This window comes from Homo sapiens, chromosome 1 (genome assembly GCF_000001405.40).
Source record: "Homo sapiens chromosome 1, GRCh38.p14 Primary Assembly".
Taxonomy (NCBI): domain Eukaryota; kingdom Metazoa; phylum Chordata; class Mammalia; order Primates; family Hominidae; genus Homo; species Homo sapiens.
In genome coordinates this window covers 47,798,199-47,825,216 of record NC_000001.11, presented here as the reverse complement: position 1 = coordinate 47,825,216, position 27,018 = coordinate 47,798,199, and the positions used below count along the sequence as shown (strand labels likewise).

The window sequence follows — 27,018 nt, the reverse complement described above, 5'->3', positions numbered from 1 at the left end:
ATTTGCAAAATGGCTATTGTGAGAATTATTGAGACCCCAGATTTGGAAGAGCTTTGGAAAGCACAGTGGGGCCTGCCTTTATTCCTGCTCATGTTGTTCTGTGAAACAAAGACATCCAGTCCCTGCTCCTCCCACAGCCCGCTCTGTGACCTTGGCAAAGTCACCCCTCTCTCTGAGCCTGAGATTCCCCCGTGGGTAAAATTGGGCTGGCGGTTCATCCTCGTCGCAGGGACTTCTGACCATGAAGAAGACAGTGCAAAGCCAGGGCTGTGCTGGCCAAGTTGGCCTCCTCCTGTGGGCAGCCGTGTGAATATGCATATGTTGGAGGGTGCTGCCTGGCTCTGAGGGTGTGGGCTGAGCTCCCTGGGCCCTTTACAGACTATTTATGATGTGCCACTCTGGTAACTGCCCATGATTAGCAGCTCCACAGGCAGCTCTGGGCCCGGAAACAATGGAACACAGAGGAAGGAAAGGAACTATTAAAGGGCCAGGAGCCTCGAATGTCACCCTCAATAATTCATCCTGCACCTGCTCTCAGCCTCTTGGTTGTGGGGCCTCTCTCCCACAAAGGTCTTCTCTGCCTGTGTCCTCTGCTTCCAGCAAGTTTGAGATCAGAATGAATAGGGCATGGGCTTTGAAGTCAGGCAGACATGGGTTTGAGTGCCACTTCCTCTGCCTACCAGGTGAACTGTGTGCCTGGGCCTCAGTTTCCTCATCTGTGAAGTGGGTGTGTTAACCCCATCCACCCACAGGTTTGTTGGACCAGTCTGACCAGTTACAGCATGGGATGAAGGGCATGTACAGCACAAAGTGAGTGGTCAGTAGGTGGGCGTCAGAGTCAGGGTTGAATTTGCAGGCTGTTGAGGGGGCGCTGGTAACTCACGTTGCTGAAAGATTCCCCCCAGACCTGCCTCTGTGGAACTGGCGGGAACTGGATTTACCCATCTGTGTTGCCTAAGGAGCTGGGCCTGCCCAGACACTGCCTTCTCCAAAAAAAGGAGTGAGGAAAGAGGACACGAGCGAGCCTGGCTCTGTGCTGGGTGATGTCCTTATGTGTCACTGACCCTCACAGCAACCCTGTGCAGTAGATAGGAGCAGCCCCCACTTCACCGTGAGGAAATCCAGGCTCAGGAAGGATGAGAGAATTGCCAACTTTCCTCTGAAGGCCAGTGACAGCGATCAGGCCTCCAGGCTTGGGATACACCCATTCCCCCAAGCAGGGGACCCAAGAAGCTGTCCACATTATCAGGCACCTACAACCTTCCAAACAGAGGGAGCAAGGAGCCATTGCAGGCAGGCCCCAGAAGAGCCCTGTTGATGTTGGTAGTGATTCCTGGAGCCCCTCAAATCTCACCCCTTTCATGGCTACCCCACAGAAAGAGTTCTGAAGTAGGAATCGACAGACTTTGATGCTGGGCCTTGGTCCCACCTTGTGAAAACCCAGAGGGTTAGACTAGAAGGAAGATCTTTACAGGCCTCGGCTGCCTGGATGCTGCTGCTCTGTAACAAAGTCTCTGCCTTCCTGTTCAGCCGGGCTGAAGGCCTCTCTCTCACCACCCCATTCTCAGTCTGTAGCAAGGATGTGCCTCTCTCCTCCCCATTTGTCTGCACCTCCCCCTGCTCTGACAGCCCCAGCAAACACACATATCCATTCTCTAGAACCAGGCATGCCTACAGAGGAACAACCTTCCCCAAAGCCCCAGGCCCTAATGAGCTCCCTGTCACTAGGGGAATGCAATCAGAGGCCAGCGCCCTGGGTCAGGGAGGCCAGATGGGGCCGGAGGGGCTTGCCTCTGTAGAATGGCAGCTGGCAGAGCTCTGAAGCCTCTCCTCTTCCCCCAGAAGCCTCCAGCCCCAGTCAGTGACCCAGGCACGAACCTGCTGGGACAGCAAGGTCCTGATTCTCACTTGGAAGTGGAATCGGAGGACCAGCCTTTCAGTGCATTTGTTCCAAGAATGTGCTGACACTGCAGCAGCTTGGCAGACTTTCTGCCGTCTGCCTCCCCCATGCAGCTACATGTTCAGTACCTCTGCCTTCCCAGCCTGCAGCAGATCTCCAGGCAAGAACCTGTGGCGTCCCAGGGGATGCATGAGCACAGCAAGACCCTATCACACAGATGGATCTGCCAGGCCGGCCCCATCTCTCACTTCAGTGCCCTGAATGCCTCACCAGCATCATGTCCCCATCACCACTCTTCACTTAGGGTGGAGAAGGAGTCCACCCCTGGAATGAGAGGCCTTCAGGGAAGATGGCACCTTGGAGGTACTCAGATAATCCAGGAGCTGAGGGTGTGGCCAGGTGGCACTCTCTCTGGATGACATGCTGGATGGAACCACAGCCTTCTACGAGACCACCTGGATCAGGAGTTGCTAGTGCTTACAAGTGTGTTCTTATTACTCGTGTCCTGACCCTCAGCTGCTAGAACTAAAATGTAAAGGCATCTTGGGAAAGGGCAATGCTACAAATTATCATCACAACCATGTATTGTGATTTAACTTCTGTTTCCTCATCTCTGAAATGGGGATAATAAGAGTAGCTACCTTATAGGATTAAAAGAGTTATTAACAAATGAAAAGCATAGTATGTATGTTAGCTCCAACTTTCACAGCAACCCTGCAAGAAAGACATCCCATTTTACAGATGAGAAAATGCCATCAGTGAGGTCAAGGGACTGGCCCAGAGTCACAGAGTGAGCAAGTGGCAAAGCCAGAAAATTTGATTCCACAGCCTGATTCTCTACCTGCCCCCCTCCCCTCATCACCCCTGTGACAGGGAAGCTCAGAGCTCAGCAGGCACTGTACTGAAAAGCCTGTTTGAGTCCCAAGATAGTTGAGGTGGTATCTGCACTTCACTCCAGAACCTAAAAACCAGGCAGGGGCCTAATTTCTGGGACTTATAGATGCCCAGAGTAGAAAGGTGGAGAGTTCTTTCCCGACAGTGAGCCCACAGATGTGTGGGAAGGAGGAAGAGAGCCCAAAGCAATGTGTAGTGGATCGGTCAGGCCTCGGGGGTGAGCTGAATCTCCACTGGAGGAGTGTATGTGTGTTTGTGTGTGTGTGTGTGTGTACGTGTACACACATGTGCCTAGAGGTCTGTGTGCATCTATTTGTGTCTGTACATGAAACGTACCTTTGTGTAAGATGTCAGTGGTGTGTTTTAGAGTATGAATATGACTGAGAGTGTGTGCATGCACGTGTTTGTGCACGTCTCTGTGTGAATGTCTACGAGAGAACACATTACCCAGTGCTCCAGGGGTAGGCAGTTACATTTTCTGGTTGGCTGAGAGTTAATCAGCAGTGCCTCATTGTTCCACCCCCTGTAGAATAATTTTTTTCCTCAAATGTCTGCATCTGCTGCTTTTGAAGAGGGATGATGACAGCCTGAAGGGTGTACAAAGAGGGTGACCAGGGTTGAGGGGCATCCTGGAATCCATGCTGGAGAAGGACTGGCTGACACTGGTGGTTGCTGCCCTAAATCTCTGCAGGCCTTTGCAGGATCACAGGGTGCAGACAAGTTCTAAGGGGCTACTGGGCTGGACTGAGGCAGGCAGGCAGGGTCAAGCTCAGTGTGAAAAGCATTCTAGATGTGGGAGTGGTCCAAGGATGTGGCAGGCTGCTTTGGGGATACTGAGCTCCTGCCACAGAGGCATGGCACAGCCCTGAGCATCTGCCTGTCAGGGGCATTGCCAGGGCAACTCCCGCCCTGGAGAAACAATCGGGTTCCTTCCAGTCCTGATATTTGGGGCTATTCATTTCTGCTCCCACAGCCAAGTCCTGTAGCTGAGTCAGACTCCTGTGGGCCCCTACCATTCCTCAAACAGTCCTGGGATTTCTTATATCCATTTTTTCAGATGAGAACATGGAACACTCAGAGGGGTGAATTGATTGTCCCTAACCATGTTCAGGGGGACTTGAACCCAGGGCCTCTGACTGCTAATATGTTTCTCTGTCCACCTCTCAAGACTCCATAGCACAGAGCCTTATACAGAACAGCCACTGGTGGGTGCCACTGACTGGCTTGCTGCCTCTGTAGCACCATCATGTGAAAATGATGCCCTGGCATTTCTGGAACACTACTGGGAGAAACAGGAGGCCGTTTCAGCTCAGAGGGTGAGAGCCTGTGCTCATGTTGCAGGGAGCGGTCTGCAAGACAGCATCAAGGGGAGGGGAACCCAGACAGGGGCACCATCACGATACACAGATGCCCAGAGGATGCAAGGACGGTGGGTGTCCAAACGTCCAGGAGGAAGGAAAGAACTCTTTGAGGTCAGAACTTCCTGCTACTACCTGAGTGACCTTGGCAACTTGTTCAGCCTCTCTGAGCCGTAGTCTTATTATTTTAAAAACTGAAATAATAATTCCTTCATGGATTATGGGAAGAGTAAGTAAGATTTTGTGTGTGTGTGTGTGTGTGTGTGTGTGTGTGTGTGTGTGGTGTGTGTGAACTTCTCAGTATTGAATAAATGGTATCTGTTGCCTTAACGTTGCTATTCCCACCTGTTGATGGAGGACGGACATGAGACCAACAGGGGAAAGTGGGCCCTTGAGTCACAGGACACAGGGTGCTGGAAGCAGTGAGGGCATAGGGCTGGCTGGGGAAAAAAGCAGGGTGGGAAAGGATGCCCCGGTAGCCAGGGGCCCTAGCCCTGCCCACCGCTGCTGACCTCACTGAGAGCTTCCACTTCTTCCTTTTAGGCGCATTTTCCTGGTACCTCACCAAGCTTGAGGTAGGCCAGGCCCAGGCATATCCCACGGTCTGTCTAAACATGTGTTCTCGTGCTGTGTGACCTTGGACAGGCCCCTGCCCCTCTTTGAGCTTTTCTGTAAAGTAAGCAATTTCACTTGCTGTGTAAGCACCACCTTGCCTTCTCCCTAGGCACCAGCACCCTGCTGCTGAAAGGATGGAGGCTCAGGGGGACTGGACTTACATAGGAGGGCCTGGGACTGGTAACAGGTAATAAAAGGCCACACAGTTCATTCATTTGTTCACACGACATTTATTGAGTGCATCATATGTGCTGGGGCTGGAGATAGACTAATGAACAAAACAAACATTCCTGCCCTCATGGAAGGAGGGTCTTACCTTCCTGTGGAAGGTGATGTGATAAACAATAAACATGATAAGTGAGGAACTAACATAGTGTGTTAGAAGGTGGTCAGTGCTATGTGCTGTGGAGAGTATGGCAGAGTGTGGAGGTGGGAGTGCCTGGGAGGGGGTTAACATTAAAGTCAAGGGTCTGAGTGGACCTTATTGAGAAAGTGAGGGCAAGTGGGGCAGATTTGTTTTTCGCAGATTCATGCAGAAGGTGCCAGCCACAGGTGTTCCTCTCCTGTGAGAATTTACCCCAGTGTCTCTGGTCTGCGTCCTATATTGGATGCAACTGTATCGGATTCCACTCTTGTTTCCCCAGAATCCAGTGCAGGGTTCAGCCCGAATACGTGCTCAGAACTGTGTATCTAAGGATTACTCCACACTGGCCTGGACCTGAGATAGGGCAGCCTGATTGCCCTTGTTCTCTCAAGTGGGAAATCCTTCCCGGCACCGCCCGTCTTCAGAGGGAGTATCAGCCCATCCAGGCCCAGACCCCACAAGGCCATACCAAGGGGCGACAGTCCTTGCTGTGTTCATTGCCGTGTCCACACCAGGCCCCAAATTCCATCTGCCGCCAAATTCCAGGGCTGGAAATAATGAGGCAAATTGTCCCTCACCGCTGATTAACTTTCAAGTTGCTCTGCTAAACTGGGTGCAGTTGAAGTTTTAGCAAGCCTCCTGGGGACCTCAGGCGGCTTCGGTTTCAGCCTTGTAAAGAGCTGTTAAAGATCCAATCAAAATAAATAAAATCAGATCCAGGAAAGCGATGTGTTGGTGACTGCAGACCAAACACTCAGGATATTCAAGCGCCCCGCTTTTCCAGGGGGTTCCTTACACTCCACTGGCATGGGCCGTGATCCTCCCGCCCTGGAGCGACTGGAGGGAAAAGTGCTGGAGAGTCCCATCCTTGGGGCTAACTGCAGAGCGGAATCCTGTCCCTGTGAGCCTGCAGGGTGGCCGCTGGCCCTGTGCCCTAGCCCTGCTAGATTGTATTGGAGGCTAAATGCCAGCACCCTGAGATGCCTTATCACGCTGAGTCCTCCCCACAACAGGCTTGTCAGCACTGGGATGGTTTATACTTTTTAAAAATAATGTCTCTAGACAATAATCATACATTTTTAAAAAATTAGAAAGAATGAAAAGCCCAGGCCCTGGAAACATAAGGTCTAACCACAGAATCAGAAACTCCAAATTGGGAGATGGCCAGACGCCACAGAATGCGAGTGATGGACTTGTGAGCTGTTCACGTCAAAGGCATCGGAGCCACAGCGAGACAACCCAGAGGATGTGAAATCCCAGCACTTCAATACCAAACTGTCTGCCTACCAGGTGTCATTCAAACTGCTGTCATTCCACCCGCCTGTGATTCTGGACACCCAGTGAAGCAAGTTAAAGGCCACAGCAAGGCTGGAGAGAGGAGCGCTCTTTCCTCTCCCTGGTGAGGGACAGCCTCCTGCCTGGCCAGCCACCCCTTCTGGTTCCACGTGCACCCTCCCCTGGAATTAATGACTGGCTGATGCTTCCGCTGGAACTCTTCATCAAACCTTGGAAGAGAAATCAAAGGTGTTTGAGAGGAAAGTCATGTGTAATACCAAGAACCACCTCCCAGCTCCTAAGTTTCAGAGAAACCAGCAGGGAAGATATTGAAGTCCGTGCAGTTGGACACTGGTGCCCCAAGAGCATTGGACAAACTATTAGATATCATTGTGAACACCCCACTCCTGTCAGAGATGGCAAAACAGGTCCCAAGAAGGAGAAGAAGGACTCGGGGTTACTCAGGGGACCAGGTGAGTGGCATGTTTGGGAGCCAAGCCCTGTGGTCCCCACTCCCCATCCTGGCCATCTGACTTCCAAGAGCTGTGTGCATCATGAGCTGGTGGGCATCACGTCCCCATTTGCCAAGCCTCACCCAGAGTCCAAGCCAGAGGTCAACCAGGGCCTCCCAGCCCTCCATCCCATGGGTGCCAGGCCATACTGGCAGGCCTGGGGCAGAGCCGGTCCCCCGCAACGCCTGCCCGCCTGGCCGCCCCCTGAAGCCGGCTGAAAGGCCCCCTTATGCGCAGCCCTGCCTCTCCGCGGCGGCACACAGCCCTGCTCTCTTACCTCATAAACGGCTAATTTGTTACATATTTTCTGACGCTGTAAATGGGAGAACAAAGACCTTTTCTCTCTCATATTTTCGTTCAATTATGTTTGTGGGGGAACCTGATCCCCTTCAAACGGGGGTGGAGGAGCTGGGGTGGAAGCCTCCCAGGCTTGCTGACCTCCCAGGCCTGCTCCTGGGCCCACGGCCCCTGAGAGCGGCTCTGGACAGCTTCGGTCTGGGTGTGGCTGGGGATGGTGGGAGTCTGGCCACAAGAGAGAGCAGTGAGGCCTCCTTGCATGTCCTGCGAGGAGCCCGTGAAGGGACTGGGCCCTCATCCCTAGAGGAGCAGATATCAGTCCTGGGAGCAGGCTGGGTGGAGTTGGGCTCCCCCAGCAGAGATGAAGCCTCCTGGGGACAGATTTCAGGACCAGAGACGGAAGGTCCTCTTCACAGCCGACATCCGTGCCCCGAGAGGGCATGGAGCAGCCAGGCAGGTGATGAGCTCCCTGTCACTACACTGACATGTCTCTCCCTGTAGCTGAGGCATGTTCCCCAAGGAGATGAGGTGGGAGTTGGAGGTAGAGGGAAGGGGAGGTATTTTGAAAAGGGAGGTTCCACAGCTGAGGACCCCTGGACGCACCGTTTCAGGGCCCCCAATCCCGAGGTTCTGTTGCTTTTGCCCTGGCTTCACACTGGGAACCCAGATGGGAGTGCTCTGGTTCACATCTGGGTTCCCAGTGTGCTCCTTCCATCCTCTTTTGAGAAAGCACACTGACTGGTTTTGAACACTGGCTCTCCTGGATCCAGGAGCTGGGGCAGGGGTGTTGGGGGGGATGGAAAACATGGCCTCTGGAGGCCGCCCCTCTAGGAAAGGCTGCTCAAGGATATCTCTCTAACAGCTGGCACACCAGCCACTCCTCCCCTCCTTCCTTCCTTCCCACTTCCTTCCTCCATTCCCTTTTTCCCTTTAGTGAGTGGCTACAAATGGCAGGTCCTGGACTAGGTACTGGGATACGAGAATGAGTAAAGCTGACATAGCCCCCACTCTCGTTACATCTGCAGAGAAGTCGGTAGATGACTGTTTGGCACATGGCTAAAATTGCTAGACTATTTTCATTCATCCACCACTTACTTGCTGTGTGACCTCAGGAAAGTCACTTAACCTCTCTGTGCCTCCTTTGTCTCACCAGTAAAATAGGGATAAAATTGAGAACCACCTCACAGAGTTGGCAGGATTTGAATGAAATACTTGTGACAAACTTCACATACTCCCTGTCATGGAACAAATGATTAACCTCATAAGTATATAAAGACAAACCATTATAAGTACTCTGAATAAAGAGTCCAGGGTGTAGGAGAGCTTCAAACAGGGGCCCCTGAGTGGATCTGGGGGATCAGGGAAGGAGTGTGCAGGAGGTGGTACTTGAGCAACTGTCTGAAATATTACAAGTTAAGGAGGCAAAGGGGAGAGATGATGGGAATGGCATACCGGGCAGAAGGACCAGCATGTGCAAAGGTCCTGAAGCAGGAAACAAATTGCACATTCAAAAAAACTATATGGGCGGCACATGAAGGCAGTAAAAACCCAAAGCAAGGAGGTTAGGGAGCAGGAGGAGTCCAGAGAGACAGACAGGTCCCTGCCAAGTACTTCTGAGAGTCCATGTTGAAGAAGTTCATGGTTATTCCCAGGGCAGAGGGGAGCCATGGGGAATTTGAGCCTGGGAGAGTGCCGTGGTCTCACCCACACACAGCATGCCCTTTCCCCATTAGGCCAAGACCAGTGGGCCCTACCTCAGGTCAGGGCTGCTCAGGATTCAAGATGCAGCCCAGACCCCGGGCCCCAGGGCCTGAGATCACTGTGTGCATGCCCTCCAGCAGCAAGAAGTAAAAGTAAAAGAGAGAGAGGGGAAGGGGGTGAGGCTGAAGACACAAAAACAGCCAGACCAGATCACAAAGGGCCTGGCAAGTCAGTCTAAGACCAGACCATGGAGAATGATTGATGGGGCTCCTTGGTGTCAGGAAGGAGGGAACCAAGTCCCATTAATCTCAGTCTCCCCAGGACCCCCGCACAGCACCTGACCAAGAACAAACACATATGCTTGTTACATGTGTGAATATAAGTCTGTGGTTGGGTCTCTTGATGGCTGGGATAACACAAAGCACAGTCCACACTCCTGACTCTATTTCTATCTATCTATCTATCTATCTATCTATCTATCTATCTATCTATCTATCTATCTCTGTCACCATCTCTACCTCTCTCTTGCCCACACATGTGTGCACACACATTCTTACACAACCCTCAGTCACTTGGAGCCCCAGACACTCCAGGTTGAAAGAAGCTCTGGCCTGCAGCTGTGCTTCCCGGTTGCAGGAGCTCACACAAGAGGAAGACAAATAAAGGCTGGAGCAGAAGGGAAGGCCTTCTTGGAGGAGGTGAGCTTCCAGGTGGGGCAGGATGGATGCTTGGGCTGTGGACAAGTGGTGGCCAGCAGGGACCCCTGTTTCTGACCTGGTGGGTCCCTGGTGGCAGGTCCATGCTGGAATGCCTGCATGAGCCTGAGGCTCCTTGAGAAGATTCTGGGCAGGGAGCTAAAAGGCTGGAGCAGTCCTCCCTCTGCCCAAGGTGGATCCTGGAAGCAGACTGGCCCCTTTAACCTGCTCCTTCAAGGGCCCCTGTCTGCTCTCATCGCCTCACATACAGCCCGCCCTCCCAGGTCAGACCTGCACAACAAGGAGGCCTTGGATAGCCCTGAGTATTTCCCATCTGCAGTGTAAGCAGATCTGTGCTCATCCAGAATGTGTCTGACTTCTCTGTGTTCTTTTCCCAAGACCCAAGGCTCAGATTTCAGTTTCACATTCTTTTGCCTTGGGTCTAAAAACATTTTCCCTTTCTGTGGTAGGGGGAAGGAGGGGATAAGGGAGCATAGGAGACCCGAGCTGCCCAAATGAAGCAGACCGATCCCTTGTTCTTGCCTTATTCTGCATCCCCTGGCTTGCTGTGTGACCTTGGGCACTTTGCTGCCCTCTCTGGGGCTCAGTGTTCTCTCTGCACAACGAGAAGCCCCATGCAGGATCTAAGGACCCTCCCTCGCCTGACCGTCTCTTGCAGTGCCAGAGTCTCCAGTGTTCCCATCCTGTTGCCAGGAAGTGTCTCCTGTGACTTCAGACAGGCAAAAAGCAGAAGTTGGCACTGCATTTTAGTTTTGTCTGTGAGGCCAAGTTCTGCGCAGCTGTCTCCTTTGATGCACCCTGGGAGGAGTATCTGTTCCCTGGACTGTCAGCACCACAGAGTCCCAGGCGGGTCCCACGCAGTCTTCTTTTCTTCCGGCCATTCTGGGTCTCATCTGCATTTGTCCAACCGCTCCCTCAAGTGGGGCTCAAGGATTCCTAAAAGGGAAGGGAGTGGGGAGGGCCCAGATTCAAAAGTCGGGGAAGGAGAGCGGGGGCAGTAATGGGCAATAGGAAAGCCTCAGAGCCCTGAGTTGGAGAGTTCTAAAACATGCAAGCCAGGAAAGATTTGGAATTCTAATCTGCCCCTCCCTTCCTCCATGCCTCCCCAAAGCCCCTGGGGCCCAAGTGGGGCCTTCTCACCTCTCCTTGTCCAGAGCCAAGAATGTCTCCTGCTACAGTCAGTGTCCTCAAAGCCTTTCTCCACACAGCAGCCAGGGGCAGCTTCTAAAGAGAAAGCCTGATGATCACTCCCTCCTTAATAAATTCAGTGGCATCCCATTGTCCGTAGAGTAAAGTCTGAGCTCCAGATCCACCTCGACTCCCTGCTCTGGGTCTATCCCATGTCCACCTCCACCAGCCACAGGCTGCACTCCAGCCCCTGCCGTCACTGACACGGCCCTGAACATGCCAGCTTCACCGCAGCCCCCATTCCTCTGCATGGGCTGTTGACACTGCCTGGAATTCCTTTTCTTTCCCTTCTGTGTGGCAAATGTGTGTCCCCACAGGGGATTGCTGCAGAGCCAGAGCCACCTCCTTTGGGAATCCTGTTTGTGGTCCCCCACATTTGCTGGACTCTCACAGCACCTTGTCCATCCCTTAGCCCCAGCCTTAATGAATGTTACTTGATCTTGTCGCAAGTCTTCCTGGAACTTCCTCCCTTGCTCCACCCTGCCTTTGAGCTTGTCAAGGATGGACAGGGTACTGATTTGGTCCCATGGCCTTGGCACCCAGCACAGAGCCTAGCACTAGTCCATACTGAAGACTGAAGAGAGAACGGAAATCTCATCCACATATGCAGAATTCCAGCCTCTCTTCAGAACACCTCCTGCAACTGGGACCCACCCCGGTGCTTAGGGAACAGAAATTTCTTAAAGTGTGTGTGTGGGTGTGGGTATGTGTCCTAAGGAAGGGCAATATTGCTTTACAAGGTTTTTAGAATGCTAGTCTCAAGCAGGCAGGACAAATATACACCCCACTTGGCAGATGGGTAAGCTGAGACGCAGCAAAGAGAAGAGAAGAGTCTGCCCCAAAGAGCCAGAATAAGAACTTCACACAGCCTGCATGTAGCAGGTCCTAGGTTTAAAACTGGGTCAGATCTCTGCCCTTTCAGCTGCTGTTTGTCTCTGAAGGCTTGGTAACCGGTGGCTTAGCAGACAAACAGAGAGGCATGTTACAATTTCTCTCATCAGTATTGAGCACTCCCAGACTCAACTCCTCTCCTTCCATCCCTGGCCACCTGGAGGTGCCCCCTCCAATCCGGTCCTCCTTGGCTACTGCCCAGGACTAAGGAAGAGCAGAGGTCCCCATACTGCTGGAGGGCCTGTGAGACCCCCTCCCTCCTCTGCAAATTGGTAATTGCTATGTGGTCAGACCAGAGGAATTAGAGGGGCCCTCTAGGAATTTCATACTGATTTTGCAAATGAAAATGGAGACTTGCCTTTTGAAGTTTAGGCAGCTGTGTCAGCAGGGCAGGTCTGAGACAGCAGGGAAAATAAAAATGACATGCCTCGAACCAATGGAAGCAGCTGCTTAATAACAATAACAGTGATAATGGTAACCACGGCTACCGCTGACTGATCGCCTCCCGTGTAGACCATTATCCCTCCATGGGCCTCAGTCAGCTCATCTCTGATTTCTCATCCATTCCAGCCTCCACAGGTGACTTGTCTACTGTCTGAAGATCAGGTAGAGAGGGTCATGTATGCTGCTTGGGTTGAGTGCATGGTCCATGGCATGAGATTGAAGACCCTCCACTACTGAATGTCTTCCAGCCCTGACTGCTGGCTCGTCTTTAAACACACCATGCTCCTCTATATCATTCTGCAGTTAACACTTTCTTTTTCTTTCTTTCTTTGTTTTTTCTTTTGAGACAGAATCTCACTCTGTTGCCCAGGCTGCAGTATAGTGGTAAGATCATAGCTCACTGCAGCCTTGAACTCCTGGCCTCAGGCAATCCTCTCACCTTAGCCTGCTGCGTAGCTGGGACTACAGGCACGTGACAGCATATCTGGCTCTTTGTTGTTGTTTTTAGAGATGGGGTCTCCCTGTGTTTCCCAGGCCTGTCTCAAACTTCTGGCCATCCTCCTGCCTCAGCCCCGCAAAGTGCTGGGATTACAGATGTGAGCCACCATGCACAGCCTGCGGTGAACACTTTCCTTCTCAACGCTACTCATCTTTGCAGCCCAGCTGAAGCCTGTGATTCCCTCACCGACTCCCAGGCTGGGTCAGAAACCCCTCTGAGGCCCCCAACCTCTGTGTTTTATTATTAACTTACCACATTATAATTACCCGTGCCTTCCGTCATCTCCTCCATCACCTTGAAGTTGCTCAAAGCTTTATAACTGAGGATAAGTTGGTGTAGGTGATTCTCTGGGACTTTCCAGTATGTTTTATTATTTTCCTCAATGGACAGAGTGTGTTCGGTTTATGAAATCAAAGGTAGTTACTGAAGAATAGAAATAGAAGATTCACAGCAGAAGCAGAGAGAGCTCGATGCATTAAGCCTGGGCAGAGTGGAGGCCCTGGGTATGGAGCCCCATCACTGGGGAACAAGGGATGCCACTTACTGCTCTGAGCCTTGGGTTTTCAATAATGCTGTCCTCACAGGGCTCTGAAGAAAAATAAATGAGCCTCCACATGTAAAGTATTTGGAAACATAGACTGTTGAAATCATGGGATGGTAGGTGTAATGTTCTGAAATGTTGGGCTCCTGGAATAGGTCTTCCAGAGCTAGGAGGTACTCCCACACCCTCCTGTTTCAGAGGAACCCTGTGGCCCAGAGAGTGGGTCTCACAGCTGGTCTGGGTCAGAGCCCACAGCACCAGAATATGCATCTCTGAGCGCCCTTGGACTTAGCTGTACTGAAAGCTAAAATCGAAGGGATCCCTTTGCCCTCCAACAGGGCAGACCCCACATAAACTCCTTTCCTGGAGACCCCAAGCCTCTGGGCCAGCCCCAGCCAGTCCCAACCATCAGCCTCCCTACCCACCCAGCAGAATGCTAATCTCATCATGTGGGTGGCTCCGGATTTATGAGCATTTCCTGGCATGACTTGAAGGACAGAGGAGGAACACTAGGATCTTTAAGGGTGGTCTTTGGGTGGAGAAACTAAGCATTCAGAGAAAAGAAGGAAAGAAAGCTAGGGTGAGTCAGGCTTCCCGATGCCCGCCCAGGAAAGCACTGAGAGCTCAGCCAGCCCACTGCAGGGCAGATGGAGGTGTGGGCAGCACCACCAAGTCCACGGGGCAGGCGACAGCTGTACTAGAGGCCAAGTCCATGCTTCTTGGGTTGTGGCTGGGCACTGGGTGGGCGATGGGGGGGTGGTGAGGGGAAGGGAGGAGGGCAGAGCTGCCTTCATCTTCAGTTGGACCTCTCTGCTTCACCCCTGCCTCCCTAGATTCCATTATCAACACAGCTCCCCCCACGTTCTTCTGCCCAGACTCCCCGTGACTTCACATCTCAGCAGGAAGCCACAGGCCTTCAAAGACCACAGGGCTCTACAGGCCCTGCCCACCACCCACCTCACTATGACCTCTCTCCCTTGTGCTGGAAATTCTCCACTTTCCTCTCCAGATCCACTTTCTGCTCTCCCTGCCCCACCCTGTGCATGAGCTGACGCAGCATCACCTAGGCTCCCGCCTTGTCCTCCCTGGCAGGAGATGGGCAGGCAGAAGGGAAAGGGAGTTGAATATTTCTTACCTCCGCCCACCCTTCTCCTCCTTCCCTGGCGTTGCCGTGGTCCAGGCCATGCTCAGCCATAGTTGTGCTCCCTTTCAAGCCTGTGGCTGTGCCAGGTCCAGATCCCTGCTCCCTCTCTTCCCCTAAAGGTTTAGAGACAGGTAAGCTTCCCCCTGCAGCTACTCCCTGCTGCCTCACTATGGCCTGCCCACACCTTCGTGAATATTCTGACAATCACTGCTCTTCAGTCACTCTTTCAGCTGAAATTACTTCTTTGGAACTCATCTCACTGGCAGTGTGCCACCTGGTTGCTGTTGGGTCCCTGCCTAACACAGGTCCGTCGCCTCACTCCCCCTTGCTCATGCATCTCCAGCCACATTGGCTGCAAACCTATCAGGCCTGCTCTGCCTCAGGGCCTGTTCCCTCTTCTCTCAGATACCCACGTGGCTCCCTCCCTCATCTCCTTCAGACCTTTTCTCAAATGTCACCTCTCATTGCAACCTTACCTGGACATCTTATCTAAAATGGGTGGCGGGGGGGCAGGGGGTGATGGCACGAACTTGTTGTCCTAGTTTATTGGGAGGCTAAGGCAGGAGGATCACTTGAGTCCAGGAGGCTCAGGCTGCAGCAAGCAGAGATCGCACCACTGCACTCCAGCCTCGACAACAGAGCAGGGCCCCAACTCTAAAAAAATTTAAAATAATAATAATAAAATATCAACTCCCAACACACACACGTGCGCGCGCGCGCGCGCACACACACACACACACCCTATATTCCTCTTTGCCTTATTTTCTCCATAGCAACTATCACTCTCCAACATACTGGATGGTTTACTTCTTGTTTCTTTATGGTCAGCTTTCTCCTACTGGAATGAAAGCTCCTTTAGGGTGGGGATCTTTATTTGCAGTGTTCACTCCTATACCTCCAGGGCCTGGAACAGCATCTGCTACATAAGTGCTCAATAAATATTTGTTCAATGAATGTGTAAATTAGTTCTTTTCAAAGGTGAGTAAACCAAGACCCAGGGAAGGAAAATAATTCACCCAGAGGTTCGTAGTGAAGAGTCCAGTGGTGACTAGATCCCTGGTCCCTGCTCCCAGCCCAGAGCCAGTCCACAGCTCCAGGAAATCTTGTGTTTATTTGGATGCCTGCTGCTCAGTAGCCCAGTGTCCGGAGACAGGATTCAGTGCTGGAGGCCTAGGAGACTCGGAATACTGAACAGGAAGCAGGGAGGTAGTCGGCATGGCTTTGGTGCTGCCGATGGGGCAAGGAGAATAAATAAATAAATCTCAGCCAGAGCCTGGCAGCTCTAACCTTTGAAGAAATGTCCCCCAGGCCAGAGAAGGCTTCCTGTGAAGTGAGCTGTCCTCCACCCCTACCCAGTGCTGAGAGATGATTTGGGCCCAGGGTCTAGCAGGCGCAGCTCCTCCCAGCTCTGCACCATGGGAGGTACTGGCTTCTGGCAGGGAGCTGCTCAGGGTGGGGGTCCTGTGACGGGCGACTCACTTGGCTTTCCATTCACTTATTCATCCTACAAGCATTCCTCAAGCAGCTGCTATGTGTGTATTGGGCACTGCACTCTGGGAACATAGTCAAGATGAAGACAGAGGATTTGCCTGACCTCAGAGCATTCATCCTCAAGCGGGAAGGACGAGTGTTAGTAATAAAATGGGGAGTACCTGGCCTGGGAAGTGTCAGGTGCTTTGGGGGCACTTAGCAGGGGACCCTTGCAGTCCATGGCTCAGAGTTCTCCTGAGGGAAGGAGCCTCTACAGCCAGGTGCAAAGGGGAGTGTCAGCTGGTAGATGGAGAGAGGTTTCCAGACAGAGGACGTGCAGAGGAGGGGATCCTGGGCAGGGAGCAAGGTTTCGTCAGCCTGGGCAGTGAAAGCAGACTGGGGAGGCCGTGAACCAGGTGAGGTTACCTTAGCAAGGGTGACCTCTTTCTTATTCTCATATGGCAGCTCTGACAGTGCACCACAGCTAAAGTTCTAACACCCCCTCTCCTTCCCAGCTGACAGCTTAGAACCTGGGCCTCAAAGACTGGCCCCTACTTGTCTCTTCTTGTCTGTACTTCCTACCAGCTGGTTGGGTGGAGGTGGCTTGGTGGGCCAGGACCAGGGACAGCAGAAAGAACCCAGACCTGCCAGCTGGACCTGAGTTTGAATCCTAACTCGTTAGTTCTTCAATGTGGGACCTTATGCAAGTGACTTTACCCTCCTCAAGGGCTCAGTTTCCTTGTTTGTCATATGGAAATAGTCCTTATCTGAAAGAATTATGGTGTGAGATGGTTTCCTAGCATCTTTACAATGCTCCATGTAATTGGGGGCTTGCTCATTAACCCTAACTTTGTCTCCCATCACTGTCTTCCTTGTTGGCTCAGCTTCAGCCACGCTGGCCTCTGCTTCTCCTCACATATGTACAGGGCCTTTGCACCTGCTGGTTCCCCTTCCTTCATCACTCCCCATCCAATTTACTGCTTTATTTTTTTCTATAACATATTCTGTATTAGTTCTCCAGAAAAACAGAACCAATAGAATATATGTATGTGTGTATGTATCTCTGTAAATATATATATAGGTATATACATTTTATACACACACACACACACACACGTAGTGTTGGTGACATTGGTGGGTAAGTCTAAAATTTGCAGGGCAGGCCAGCGGGCTGGAAATCCAGGGAAGAGTTGATGCTGCAGTTCAAGTCCAAAAGCAGTCTGCTGGTAGAATTCCTTGTTCTTTGACAGGGTCAGATTTTTTCTAGTAAGGCCTTCAACTGAGCGGATGAAGCCCACCTACGTTATGGAGGGTAATCTGCATCTCAAAGCCTACTGATTTAAATATGAGTCTCATCTAAAAAGTACCTTCACAGAAGCATCTAAAAAAAGTTTGACCAAATATCTGGATAGCGTGGCCTAACCAAGTTGACACATAAAATTAACCATCACAAGTTCACCCCTTCTCAGTTGGGCTCCCATACACATCTTCAACCATACTGAATCTCCAAATACTGACAATAACATGGCCATAGTTCCACCTAACATGATGCTGCTATCCTGCATACACCAAAAATGCTCTGTTTCTTTCCCCAGAAGAGGATGCAAAGTCTTTGGGTGACATTTACTTTTCTTGATATCCTGTACCTTAAATATATGATGTAAAGCTAACAATACCTAAATACTATAAGTCAATATATCTTATGTTATATGATAAAGGGATGAGAGGGAAGAAAGCAAAGATATTTGAGATAGAAACACACACACAGACACACACACACACAAATATGAATAACAAAAGAGGGAGGAACTCTCATCACAATTACAGTTCTCATCTCTGTCACTGGTCACGTTATCATAGCTGGTATTGCTGACTACCTTCTTCTACTACCCATTCTGTATTCTCTTTGCTTTCAACAACAACCTCAACTGCTCATGGTTCTTAACCTGGCGGCATGACCCAAGCCTTCATTGTTGAATGGTCTGGGCCATTAGTAGTCCTGTCTGGATTGGGTTGTTGTGGTTTTCCATTGACTTTAATCTCAGGGTATGGTAATACTAAGAGATGCCCTAAAAGGTCTCCTGCATTCCAGAAACACTCTTCCTCACCTCCACTGGGGTGGCAATCTAATTTCCCCCTTGGTAGTCAGGATCAATCATTCCAGGCAGCATAGTAACCCCTTCTTTGCCTGTTGACTCAGAGGTGTGAGGAATCCATGTGGCTGGGTGGCAGTCTTCACTTCCAGTTTAATGAAGCCATTGTTGTGTGTCCAACATGCTGCATATTAGTATTTTTACTAATAATTTATGTATTCTCACTTTACCCCTCTAGCAGGTGAGCTCTGTAAGGGCAGGGATTTTTAAAGTCTGTTTTGTCCCTGGCTAACTCCCCAGCACCTAGAACAATGCCTGGTGCTCAGGAAGAATGGCTGAGTGGATTGGGGCCTTTGCAGTGATTCCCTTGGGCTTTGAGTTGGGTGAGCAGACTTGCAAGCTGAGAGCCAGGCTTGTCCCAAGGGACCCTGACTCTAAACCCTCTTCTTGACTAAGGGGGTCCTGCTGCCTTCTCAGTGCCATTGCTGGGCCATCAAGTGAACATAGGCCTTCAAGTCTACCATTCCAGCCCATCTAGGACTGTTTACAGGACTACTCTGGAACAATAAACCTGTTCCCACCCTCCTGGCGCCTGCCTCACTCCTTCCTAGTTCCTCGTTTGAAGACGTGTTTAAATTCTGGGCCTACATTCAGCAGATGCCACAAGCCATTTCATGTCCAGCCAGCGTTGGTGAGGGGAGTCCACAGAGGATGCTCTGGAGCTCCTGGTGGCTGGGCCTCCACACAGCCATCCAGGGTGAGAGAGGCAGCTCTAGCCTTCACCCGATGTTTGTTATTCCATGTCAAAGCCTTATCATAAACATTATCCTAGAGTGGGCCACCGAGGCTATGTACAAAGAAGGTTTGTTATTCTAAGGTGGCCAGGAGCAGAAGACATCTCGAGTCTGAGCAGCACCAGGCTTGGGAATTCAGGGTGAGTGAAAGAGAGGCAGGAGTCAGGGCCAGGCGCTTCATTATAAAGCCTGTGTACTTACCACCCTTGCTGTGCTGGCCAGTTGGCACATCTGCCTCTAAAATGAGCTCTGCACAGATGGAAGCCAAGTCCAATTAATCTACTAATCTCAAATCCCTGCAGAGAGGAGCTGAAAGTAAATGTTTGTGAATGAATGGATGTAGCTTCCCTCTGTCTGTTGGAAGCACCAAGGATGCTGGTGAAGGAGCACATACCGCGCTGAAGTCCTGGTTGTGAGAACCTGGTCCGGTGCCAGACGTAATTTCAAACCCCAGCCCTGTCTTTTACCAGCTGTGTGGCCTTGTGCCCATCACTCCCTTCTGCTTCTTTGGTTTCCCATCTTTGACTACGGACAACATCCCTCTTGGCTCTCTTCCAGGGAGAGCAGAGGGAGGGCCTACAGGACAGTGGTTAACTAGGAGGATACATTCCAGGCCTGGCCCAAATGCCTGATCCATCCCTCTCCAGCTTTGTCACCTTTGGCAAGGTATTTGATGTCTCTTTGCTGCAGTTTTTTTTTTTTAATTAAATGGAGCTAATAATAGAGTTACCTCAGAGTTGCTGTAAAGATTAAATAAATGAACATGAGTTTAGAAAGTTCCTGACACATAGTAAGTGCTCAATAAACATCGTAATCCTGGTAATGAATGGATGAAGACTTCTTTATAAATTGCAAAATGATGGTACGGGGCAGGAGGTGTAAGGGAAAGTGCGCATGATTCTGGATCAGCATACCTCTTCTTGCAGTGCTTCCTGAATGTCTGCTAATGGAGACATTGGGATTCAGCAGGAAACAGAGAGGCAGAGAACAGGGACAATTCAGTGAGATAAGTGTCTAAGGAAAAAGAAGGACAGGGGTCTTTGGGAGACACCAAACCCCACCGAGGTAGGGAGAATCAGGATGATAGGCTTGGGTTTCAGTCCTGGCCCCACCACACTCCTGCTGTGACACATGGGAAGGCCTCATAAATGGTCTGGCCTCTGTTTTATATATTTGTAATAGACTATTAATAACAGACTTATTAGTAACAGACTAACAATAAATATTCCCTGGCTATTTCACAAGGCTCTAAAAAAAAAAAAAATGGGTGTGGCAGTGTGTGTGGATGAATGTGGGCTGTGCCTGTGGACATCTGGAAATCCAGCCATGTGGTCCAGGGCACTGCAGAGTTCTGGACCAGGAGTTAAGAGTTGGGGTTGAGTCCACTCTGCCCACAGCTCATTGTGTGGCCTTAGGCAAGCCCCATCCTGCCTGCTCTGGACCCTAGCCTCCTCTCCTCTTTAATATGAGGAGGCCACAGGATGAGATCAGTGGTTCTCAAACTAGGCTCCAGGGTACCTGTGGGTTCCACAGAAGGGCCTTGGTGCAGAAGTCCCTGCTGCAGGGAGACATTGAGCTAGTGAGACTTCAGGCGCCCGCCTGCCTCCCTTACATCAACCAGGGAAGTTTCCATTTTTACCTTCTCCATATTTTGAGTTCTAAGTAAGATTCCTTTGGAAAACAACAGCAAGAACATGGCTTTAAAAGGCCTGAAAAGCCTCTGGACCAGATGACCTCCAGGGCTCTTCCAGCTCCAATCTGGGAAGCTTTAGGTCTATTTTCCTCTCAGTTTTATTTAACAAACACTTATCCAGCACTTACTACATGCCAGGACTGTTTTTAGCACCCCACAGATTATAACATACTAAATTCACTGGAACACCTTCCAGCTCTGTGATGGTTGCATGATTGCAGAAGCAACTCTGTGAGTCGAGCAAGGTCCTGGGGAGACATTTCTCCTCCAGTCAGCTCTTCTGGGTGCCTGGGCCGATGACCTCACCACAGGTCAGGTGGTGTCTTGGCCAAGCCGACGCCGAGAAACAAGGGAGCAGGTGTGTGCAGTGGCCGAGTGTAGTCACGGGAAGCCTGTGTCCCAGGCCCCCAGGGAAGGAGAGCGGATCAACTCGACATGGACACTTTCATCCGAGGCATGTGCCGTGTGGGAGGAAGTGCCTGTTGCCTTAGCAATGCCCACAGCAACAGGGCCACTGCCTCCTGTGATCCATCCCCAGCCACCATGCTGCCATCGACACCCTGCACCAGATGGCTACATATCAGATTTCAATGGTGGCGGCCAGAGCCTAGAGGCCTGGAGAAGGCCCAGAGGTGGAGTTTTGGGTAGGGGGTGGTGGGGGCTGACCTCATCTCCAGCCAGCTCATTAGGTGGAGCAGCCTGGGCTGCATCCAGTGCAATCTAGCGCTCCTGCCCAGCCATGAACAAAATGAGAGGGGAGGGAGGTGATCTCATGAGCACACGCTTGGCCCTGTTGCCTATGTTAGTACTTTGGCCTGGCTGTGCACACCTATTTTATGAGCTTTTCTGGTCAGATTATGTGTTCTTGAACCAAGTGACTGCTGCCACTTGGTGGGACCTTCTGCCACAAGGTGGTGGCATGCCTCAAAATGCAGAGTGCAGAAGTTGTAGGGGCTAGATTTAAGGACTCAATGAGCAGCCTTGAACTATGAAGTGACCATAGCAGTGTCAAAGAAATAAAGAAACAATGAAGTGACACTTTATCTTCACCAGGCACAGTGCTGAGTGCTGCAAATTCAAAAATGAACACGACACAATTCCTGTCTTGAAGGAGCTCATAGCCTAATGTGGGAGGCTGGTAGCTAAACAGCAAATACAATATAATGTTCACTCCGTAGTGGAAGGAAGCATGGTGTATCTATCACCACAACTATGCTGTGTAACAATAACAATAAGAGTTTTCCACTCATGCATCTGGGGACAATTGTGAATAGTCTCTGCTGATCTTGGCTGGGCTAGTTTGCATGTATGGGGATTGGCAGGCTGTTGGCTATTCTTGGTGGAGGATGGCCTTCGCTGGACGGCTCTGCGCCACATGTCTCTCATCATCCAGCAGTCTAGCCTGGATTGTTCTCAGGGCAGTGGCAGAGGTGCAGACAGCAGCAGCAGCATCAGCAGCACGTAACTACTTTTCAGGCCTGAATTTATAATGGTTACTAGCATCCCCTTGGCTGAAGGATGTCCAGGGTCAGACTGGAAAGGAGCTACAAAGTTCCATGGAAAAGGGCATGAATACAGGGAGGGGCTAAGGTTTAGGGCCATTAATCTATCAGTCTGCCACCCATGGAGGCTGTGGGACCCCCAGTGAGGGGCCTAACCCAGTCCCCAGGTGGTCAGAGAAGCTTCCTGGAGGAGACAGCCGAGGAGAGTCTGGACAGCTAAGTCTGAGTTTGCAAGTGGAGACGAGGGAGCCGGATTTCCCTATGGAACAGCATTTACAGAGGCACAAAGGCAGAAGATTTTTTTTTTTTTGCTTGAAGGAATGCTGAGTATTTTAGTATTTGGAGGCATGAAAGCCATGTAAGAAATGAGGTTATTGACCATAGCAGGGTCCAGGTTACTGCCTTGGAGGCTCTACTCAAGAGCTAGCCCTTTAGCCTGCAGGTGGGAGGGACCTGTGAACGTTTTGAGCAAAAGAGAGAGAGAGAAATCATCAGATTTGTGCATTTAAAAGAGGACCATGACAGATAACTATGGTATAGAAGAGAAGGGAGGGGGTGTGCCCGGAGATGGGCGGGACTGGTGCAGGGGACTCAACGAGAAATGCTGGGGCCTGAATTGAGGTGGGTGACAAGGCTGGGAACTTGGTGTCCAAGGCATTGTGCAGACAGAATGAGCAGGGCCTAAAGACTGAGGGCTAGGCTGGGCTAACAGCAGGGACCAGTTCCCTGAGACAGCCTCCTGACTTTCTGTACAGGGACCAAGTTTTTCTCTTTATCTGTGTTAAATAGCCCAAATAATGATCAGCCTCCTCCCTTCTGTTGAACAAAGGAGTCTGGGATACTCTGTCTCCTAAAACTAGCTCCAGGCCTAGCTATGTGAATTGAGCAGGTCCCTCCCTTCCCTTCCCTTCCCTGGGCCTCAGTGTCCCCATCTAAAATGAGCAGGTTGTGTTCCATTAGAGCCACGATCCTCAAATGCCAGAGACGGTCAGACTGCTTAGGAAGTGTGCAGGGATCCTGTTAAAAATACAGAGCCTCTGATCCCAGAGGGCGAGATCTGGGCATCTGACATTTTGTCAGTGATCCTGATGCCCACAGTGATCCTGATGCCCACAGATCTGGCTGGGCACAGGCACGGTGGCCCCGAGGACAGAGGAGCTTGAGGACATGCATGCTGAATACAAGGATAGAGCAGATGTTCAGGACCGAGCTCCTCAGGCCTTTCCCTGGGTGAGGAAGGCTTCCAGGGTAGGCGGCCTTTAGGTTGGGCCTTGACATCCAACCGGGCCTTTTGTTCTTGTCCTGTTGCTTTGTTTGCAGGATGCTCTTGATTACAAAATTAATTCATGCACTTTTAAGCACAGGAACACAAAGGAGTCAAAAGAAAAACTCACCCATCATTCCGAAACCCAGACACAAGTTGGGTTCTCATTTTGCTGCTTCTTTAATAAGATGTTGAGACCCAGAGCAGGAATGGGGACCTGTGTGGGCAAAGGGCTGGAGGTGAGAGCAGGCTGAACGTGCTCAGAGACATGAGGCAGGAGCAGAAACTGGAAACACACAGCCTGAGCCAGCTGGTGCCAGCCCCACACACCTTCTCTGTTTCAGGCCTGTTGCTCTGAAGTCCAGAGGGAGGAGGGTCAGTCCTAGAGCTCAGCCAGGGTCCCTGAGCACAGCCCTCATTCCTCTCTCTTTCCTCGGCCCAGGTGCTGTTTGCCCTGAACCAAACCCTGCTGCAGCAGGAGAGTGTGCGGGCCGGGAGCCTGCAGGCCTCCTACACCACGGAGGACCTCATCAAGCACTACAACTGCGGAGACCTCAGCGCAGTCATCTTCAACCACGACACATCCCAGGTGAGGCTCCTCTCCAAAGACCTGGATACCTGGCATTTATTAGATCCCTATGACGTGCCAGGCATAGGTAATCTTCTCTCCAGCCATGGCAAGAAGGAGCTATCGTTATTCCCCTTTTATAGGTGGGGAAATTGAGGCTCAGAGATGAGAAGAGATTTGTCCAAGGCAACACAGCTTATGAGTTGTTGAGTTTTAAGTTACCAAGAGCAGCAACTTGAGCCAGATCTATGTGGCTCTGGGGCCTAGGACTCTGGAAACTTAGCTTGTAAGACCAGGGAGGCCTCAGAGGTTCAGTTCTACATCTGGGGAAATTAAGTTCCAGGGAAGGAAAAGCCCACAGTTACTCAGAGCTTGGACTTGAGTCCAGCCCAGAGCATTCTGCTTTGATTTGAGTCTCAGAGGAAAGATTGTCACCAGCTGGTCGGGCAGCAAGTAGAACCCAAGGGGCTGAGCATGGCTCACCCCTGCTCAGACTCCACCATGCCTCCCCATTCATTGCTCTCATGGTGAATTCCAAGATGCTTCCTCCAGCATTCAAGGACCTTACAACGTGCCCTCTGCTGGCCTTGTCACAGCCCAGGTCCTCCACCCTACAGACCTTGCTCTGCAGACTGTGGAACTTGCAACTCTTCCATTGTACCTTGTCTTTTCAAGCTTCTGGGCCTTTGTTCAGGCTCCTTTCTCCTCCAGGGTTCCTCCCACTTGGTCATAGTCATATGTCACCTCCTGAGAAACCTTCCTGAGCCCCTGGATAGGGTCAGGCATTCTCCCAGGCACCTCTAGGGCCTTGTGCCTCCTCTGTCATTGTGCTTGAATACCCGTTCATTCAAGAAGCAGTTGAATTAGGCAGAACACACCACTTCCCTGCTCAGGACATTGCGTGGACTTCCCATTTTTATCAAGGTGAAAGCCAGAGTCTCTACAGTGGCCTGCATGGCCCCCATGCTCTCTCCCTACCCTGTCACTTTCTGCTCTCCCCTCCTGCACACCACTTGGGCTGCATGGGCCTTCTTGCTGGTGTGCGAACCCAACTCACCAGCTTCTGCCTTTGCACTGGCTGCTCCCTCTGCCGAATGCCTCTCCCAGGTATGACCATGGCTCACTCCCTCTCTGCCTGCAGCATTTAACTAAAATCTCGTCATCTCAGTGAGGCTGGCCCCAACCACCTGACTCAGAATTGCAACCTGGCCTGCATGACCACACTCTCACCCTCTTTATTATGCTCCACTTTTTTTCCCCATGGCCTTTGCCATCCTCTAACACACTATCTACTTGATTCATTGATTAGTGACTGTTTATTGGTTGCTCTCCCTACTAGATCATAAGCTCCATGAGGGCAGGGAGTTCGGTCTGTTTTATTCATGGATTTATCTCAACTGGCTGGAGCAGCCCCTGGCCCAGAGCTGGACTCAGTAAACATTTGCTGAATGAATGAATGAAGGAAGGAAGGAAGGAAGGAAGGAATGAAATAGTTTATAAATGCTAGACACAGTGCTATGAAAAGGGGCTTACAGTCACATAGGGAAGATGGGGACATTCGAGAATGAATTGCACCAAAGTGTGATCCTTGCTATGAGGATGGAGTGGAGGAAGCATTTGGAGCCTGTGGAAGGAACGGCTGATTTAGATGGGCTTGTGGGTAGGGCCTGGGACTGGGGAGAGAAGGAAAGATTTTTGCAAGATGAGAGGGCATGGAAGAACCTGAGTTGGCCATAGACAAGGGGAGGAATAATATTCCAGCAGAGGAAACCATGCACCAGTGAGCCGGAGAGGGGTGCTGAGAGTATAGCCTGCAGACAGACCGGGCCGGGCCATGGTGTTCCATCAGTACTTGCCCCCACACGACCAGGAGCTCCTGAGGGTGATGGTGTGCTGCCTATCTTGGTCCCCGTTGCCCAGCTTAGGCCTGGCACAGAGCACATGGCAGTGAGTGACTGTCACCCGAGCAAATGTAGGCATGTGGCATCCTTGCAGCAGCATAGAGAATGAAAGAGAAAAGAACTGGAGGCTTTGCTGCAGGACACTCAGGATTCCGAGAGCTCTGACTCAGTGGCAGAGAAGTGAGGGTGGAGAGAAGCACCCTGACACCACGAGGCTCCTAGGAATCTCACCTACGAGTGACCCCCTTTGTGGCCAGGCCCACCCTGCTTCATCTGCTGAGGGAGACCCCCGTGAGTCCTGAGCAGCCAGGGAGCTCTGTGGCAAAGGAGACCCTGGTCATGACTTAGGATGGTCTGGCCATGATGTGGCCAGGAGGGCGGGAGTGTGCAGGACAGGGTGCTGGCCAGACTGTGGCTGACCCTAAGCTGAGAAACGGAGGCATGAGGTGACCTCAGGAGAAGGCAAGCTCAGATTTTCTTTGAGCTTGGGTCCAGACCACTGATTTGCCTTTGGCAAGTGGAACTGCCTCAGAGGTCTCCCAACAGTTCCCGTACTTGAAGTGGGACAGAAGGTAGGTGGATTGGGCCACCTGGATTCGAAGAGCAACCCAGGCTGCCCCAAGGATGCACAGATAGAATCTAGTCGCTTGAGGAGGGGCTAGGCAACCCTACCCCAAGGTGCAGAAAAGCCTGGTGTCAGGGTAGCAAGGCTGAATCCAGTTCCCATGAGGATCTGTTGGAGGTGGGGCTGTGTCTGTAGCTGGGGGCCTCAAAGTCTGCAGGGCACTGAGGATACGGAGGCTGTGGGGCCACAGTGCCTTTGCCTGAAGGCTTTAGGGAGACAGTGATACGAGAACCAGGCTTGGCAGTAGGGTCCCCTAGATGGGGGTAAAGAGGGGATGCTGAGGGGTGGAGAGCGCAAGCTGGAGAGCAATGTGGTCAGAAAGATGCCTCTGGCTATAATGTGGAGGATGAGGAAGCAACATCTGGAGGCCAGGGCAGGACAGGTGCAGGCCTGGGTGGATAACACTGGGAAAGGGGCCAGGGGCACCTCATCCTTGGCCTGCATCCTGGCTCCACTGTCCCCACCTGCAGCAATGGCTGCATCCCTGGCCTCTGCAGCCCCCAGGCCACTGGCACTGTCTGTGCCTAGCAACAGCAGGGTGATCCAAAGGCCTTCCCCTTGGAAGCCTGGCCTGAGCCTCAAGACTGCCTTAGGTGTAGAGTTGCTGCATGCATTTATTGTCCAAACCCAGATAATTTTGAGAGTCAGATACAATTGAGGATCAAGATAATTAACAGGCATGGAGCAATCTCCTCTAGCCATCGACCTGGACTGTTCTGGTCAAACCAAGACACGTAGTTACCCTATTAGGTGCCTCCTCTGGGCTCAC

At 51.5% G+C, this 27,018-nt stretch overlaps 1 protein-coding gene across 12 annotated transcripts in view; it reads left to right on the top strand.

Annotated features, from left to right (window-relative positions):
* Window positions 1-27,018, top strand: part of TRABD2B (TraB domain containing 2B) — a 236,858-nt gene that overhangs the window by 172,169 nt on the left and 37,671 nt on the right. For 8 of the 12 annotated variants that reach the window (XM_017001262.3, XM_017001261.3, NM_001194986.2 and 5 more), the window contains exon 3: window positions 23,598-23,744. The exons of 2 other annotated variants lie outside the window; for them this stretch is intronic. In XM_017001262.3, coding sequence (XP_016856751.1) covers window positions 23,598-23,744 — 147 coding nt within the window. Of the gene's footprint in view, window positions 1-3,570; window positions 6,880-23,597; window positions 23,745-27,018 lie in introns of those variants that run through there. 2 more of the 12 variants (XM_047420060.1, XM_017001263.3) reach the window with 2 other exon arrangements.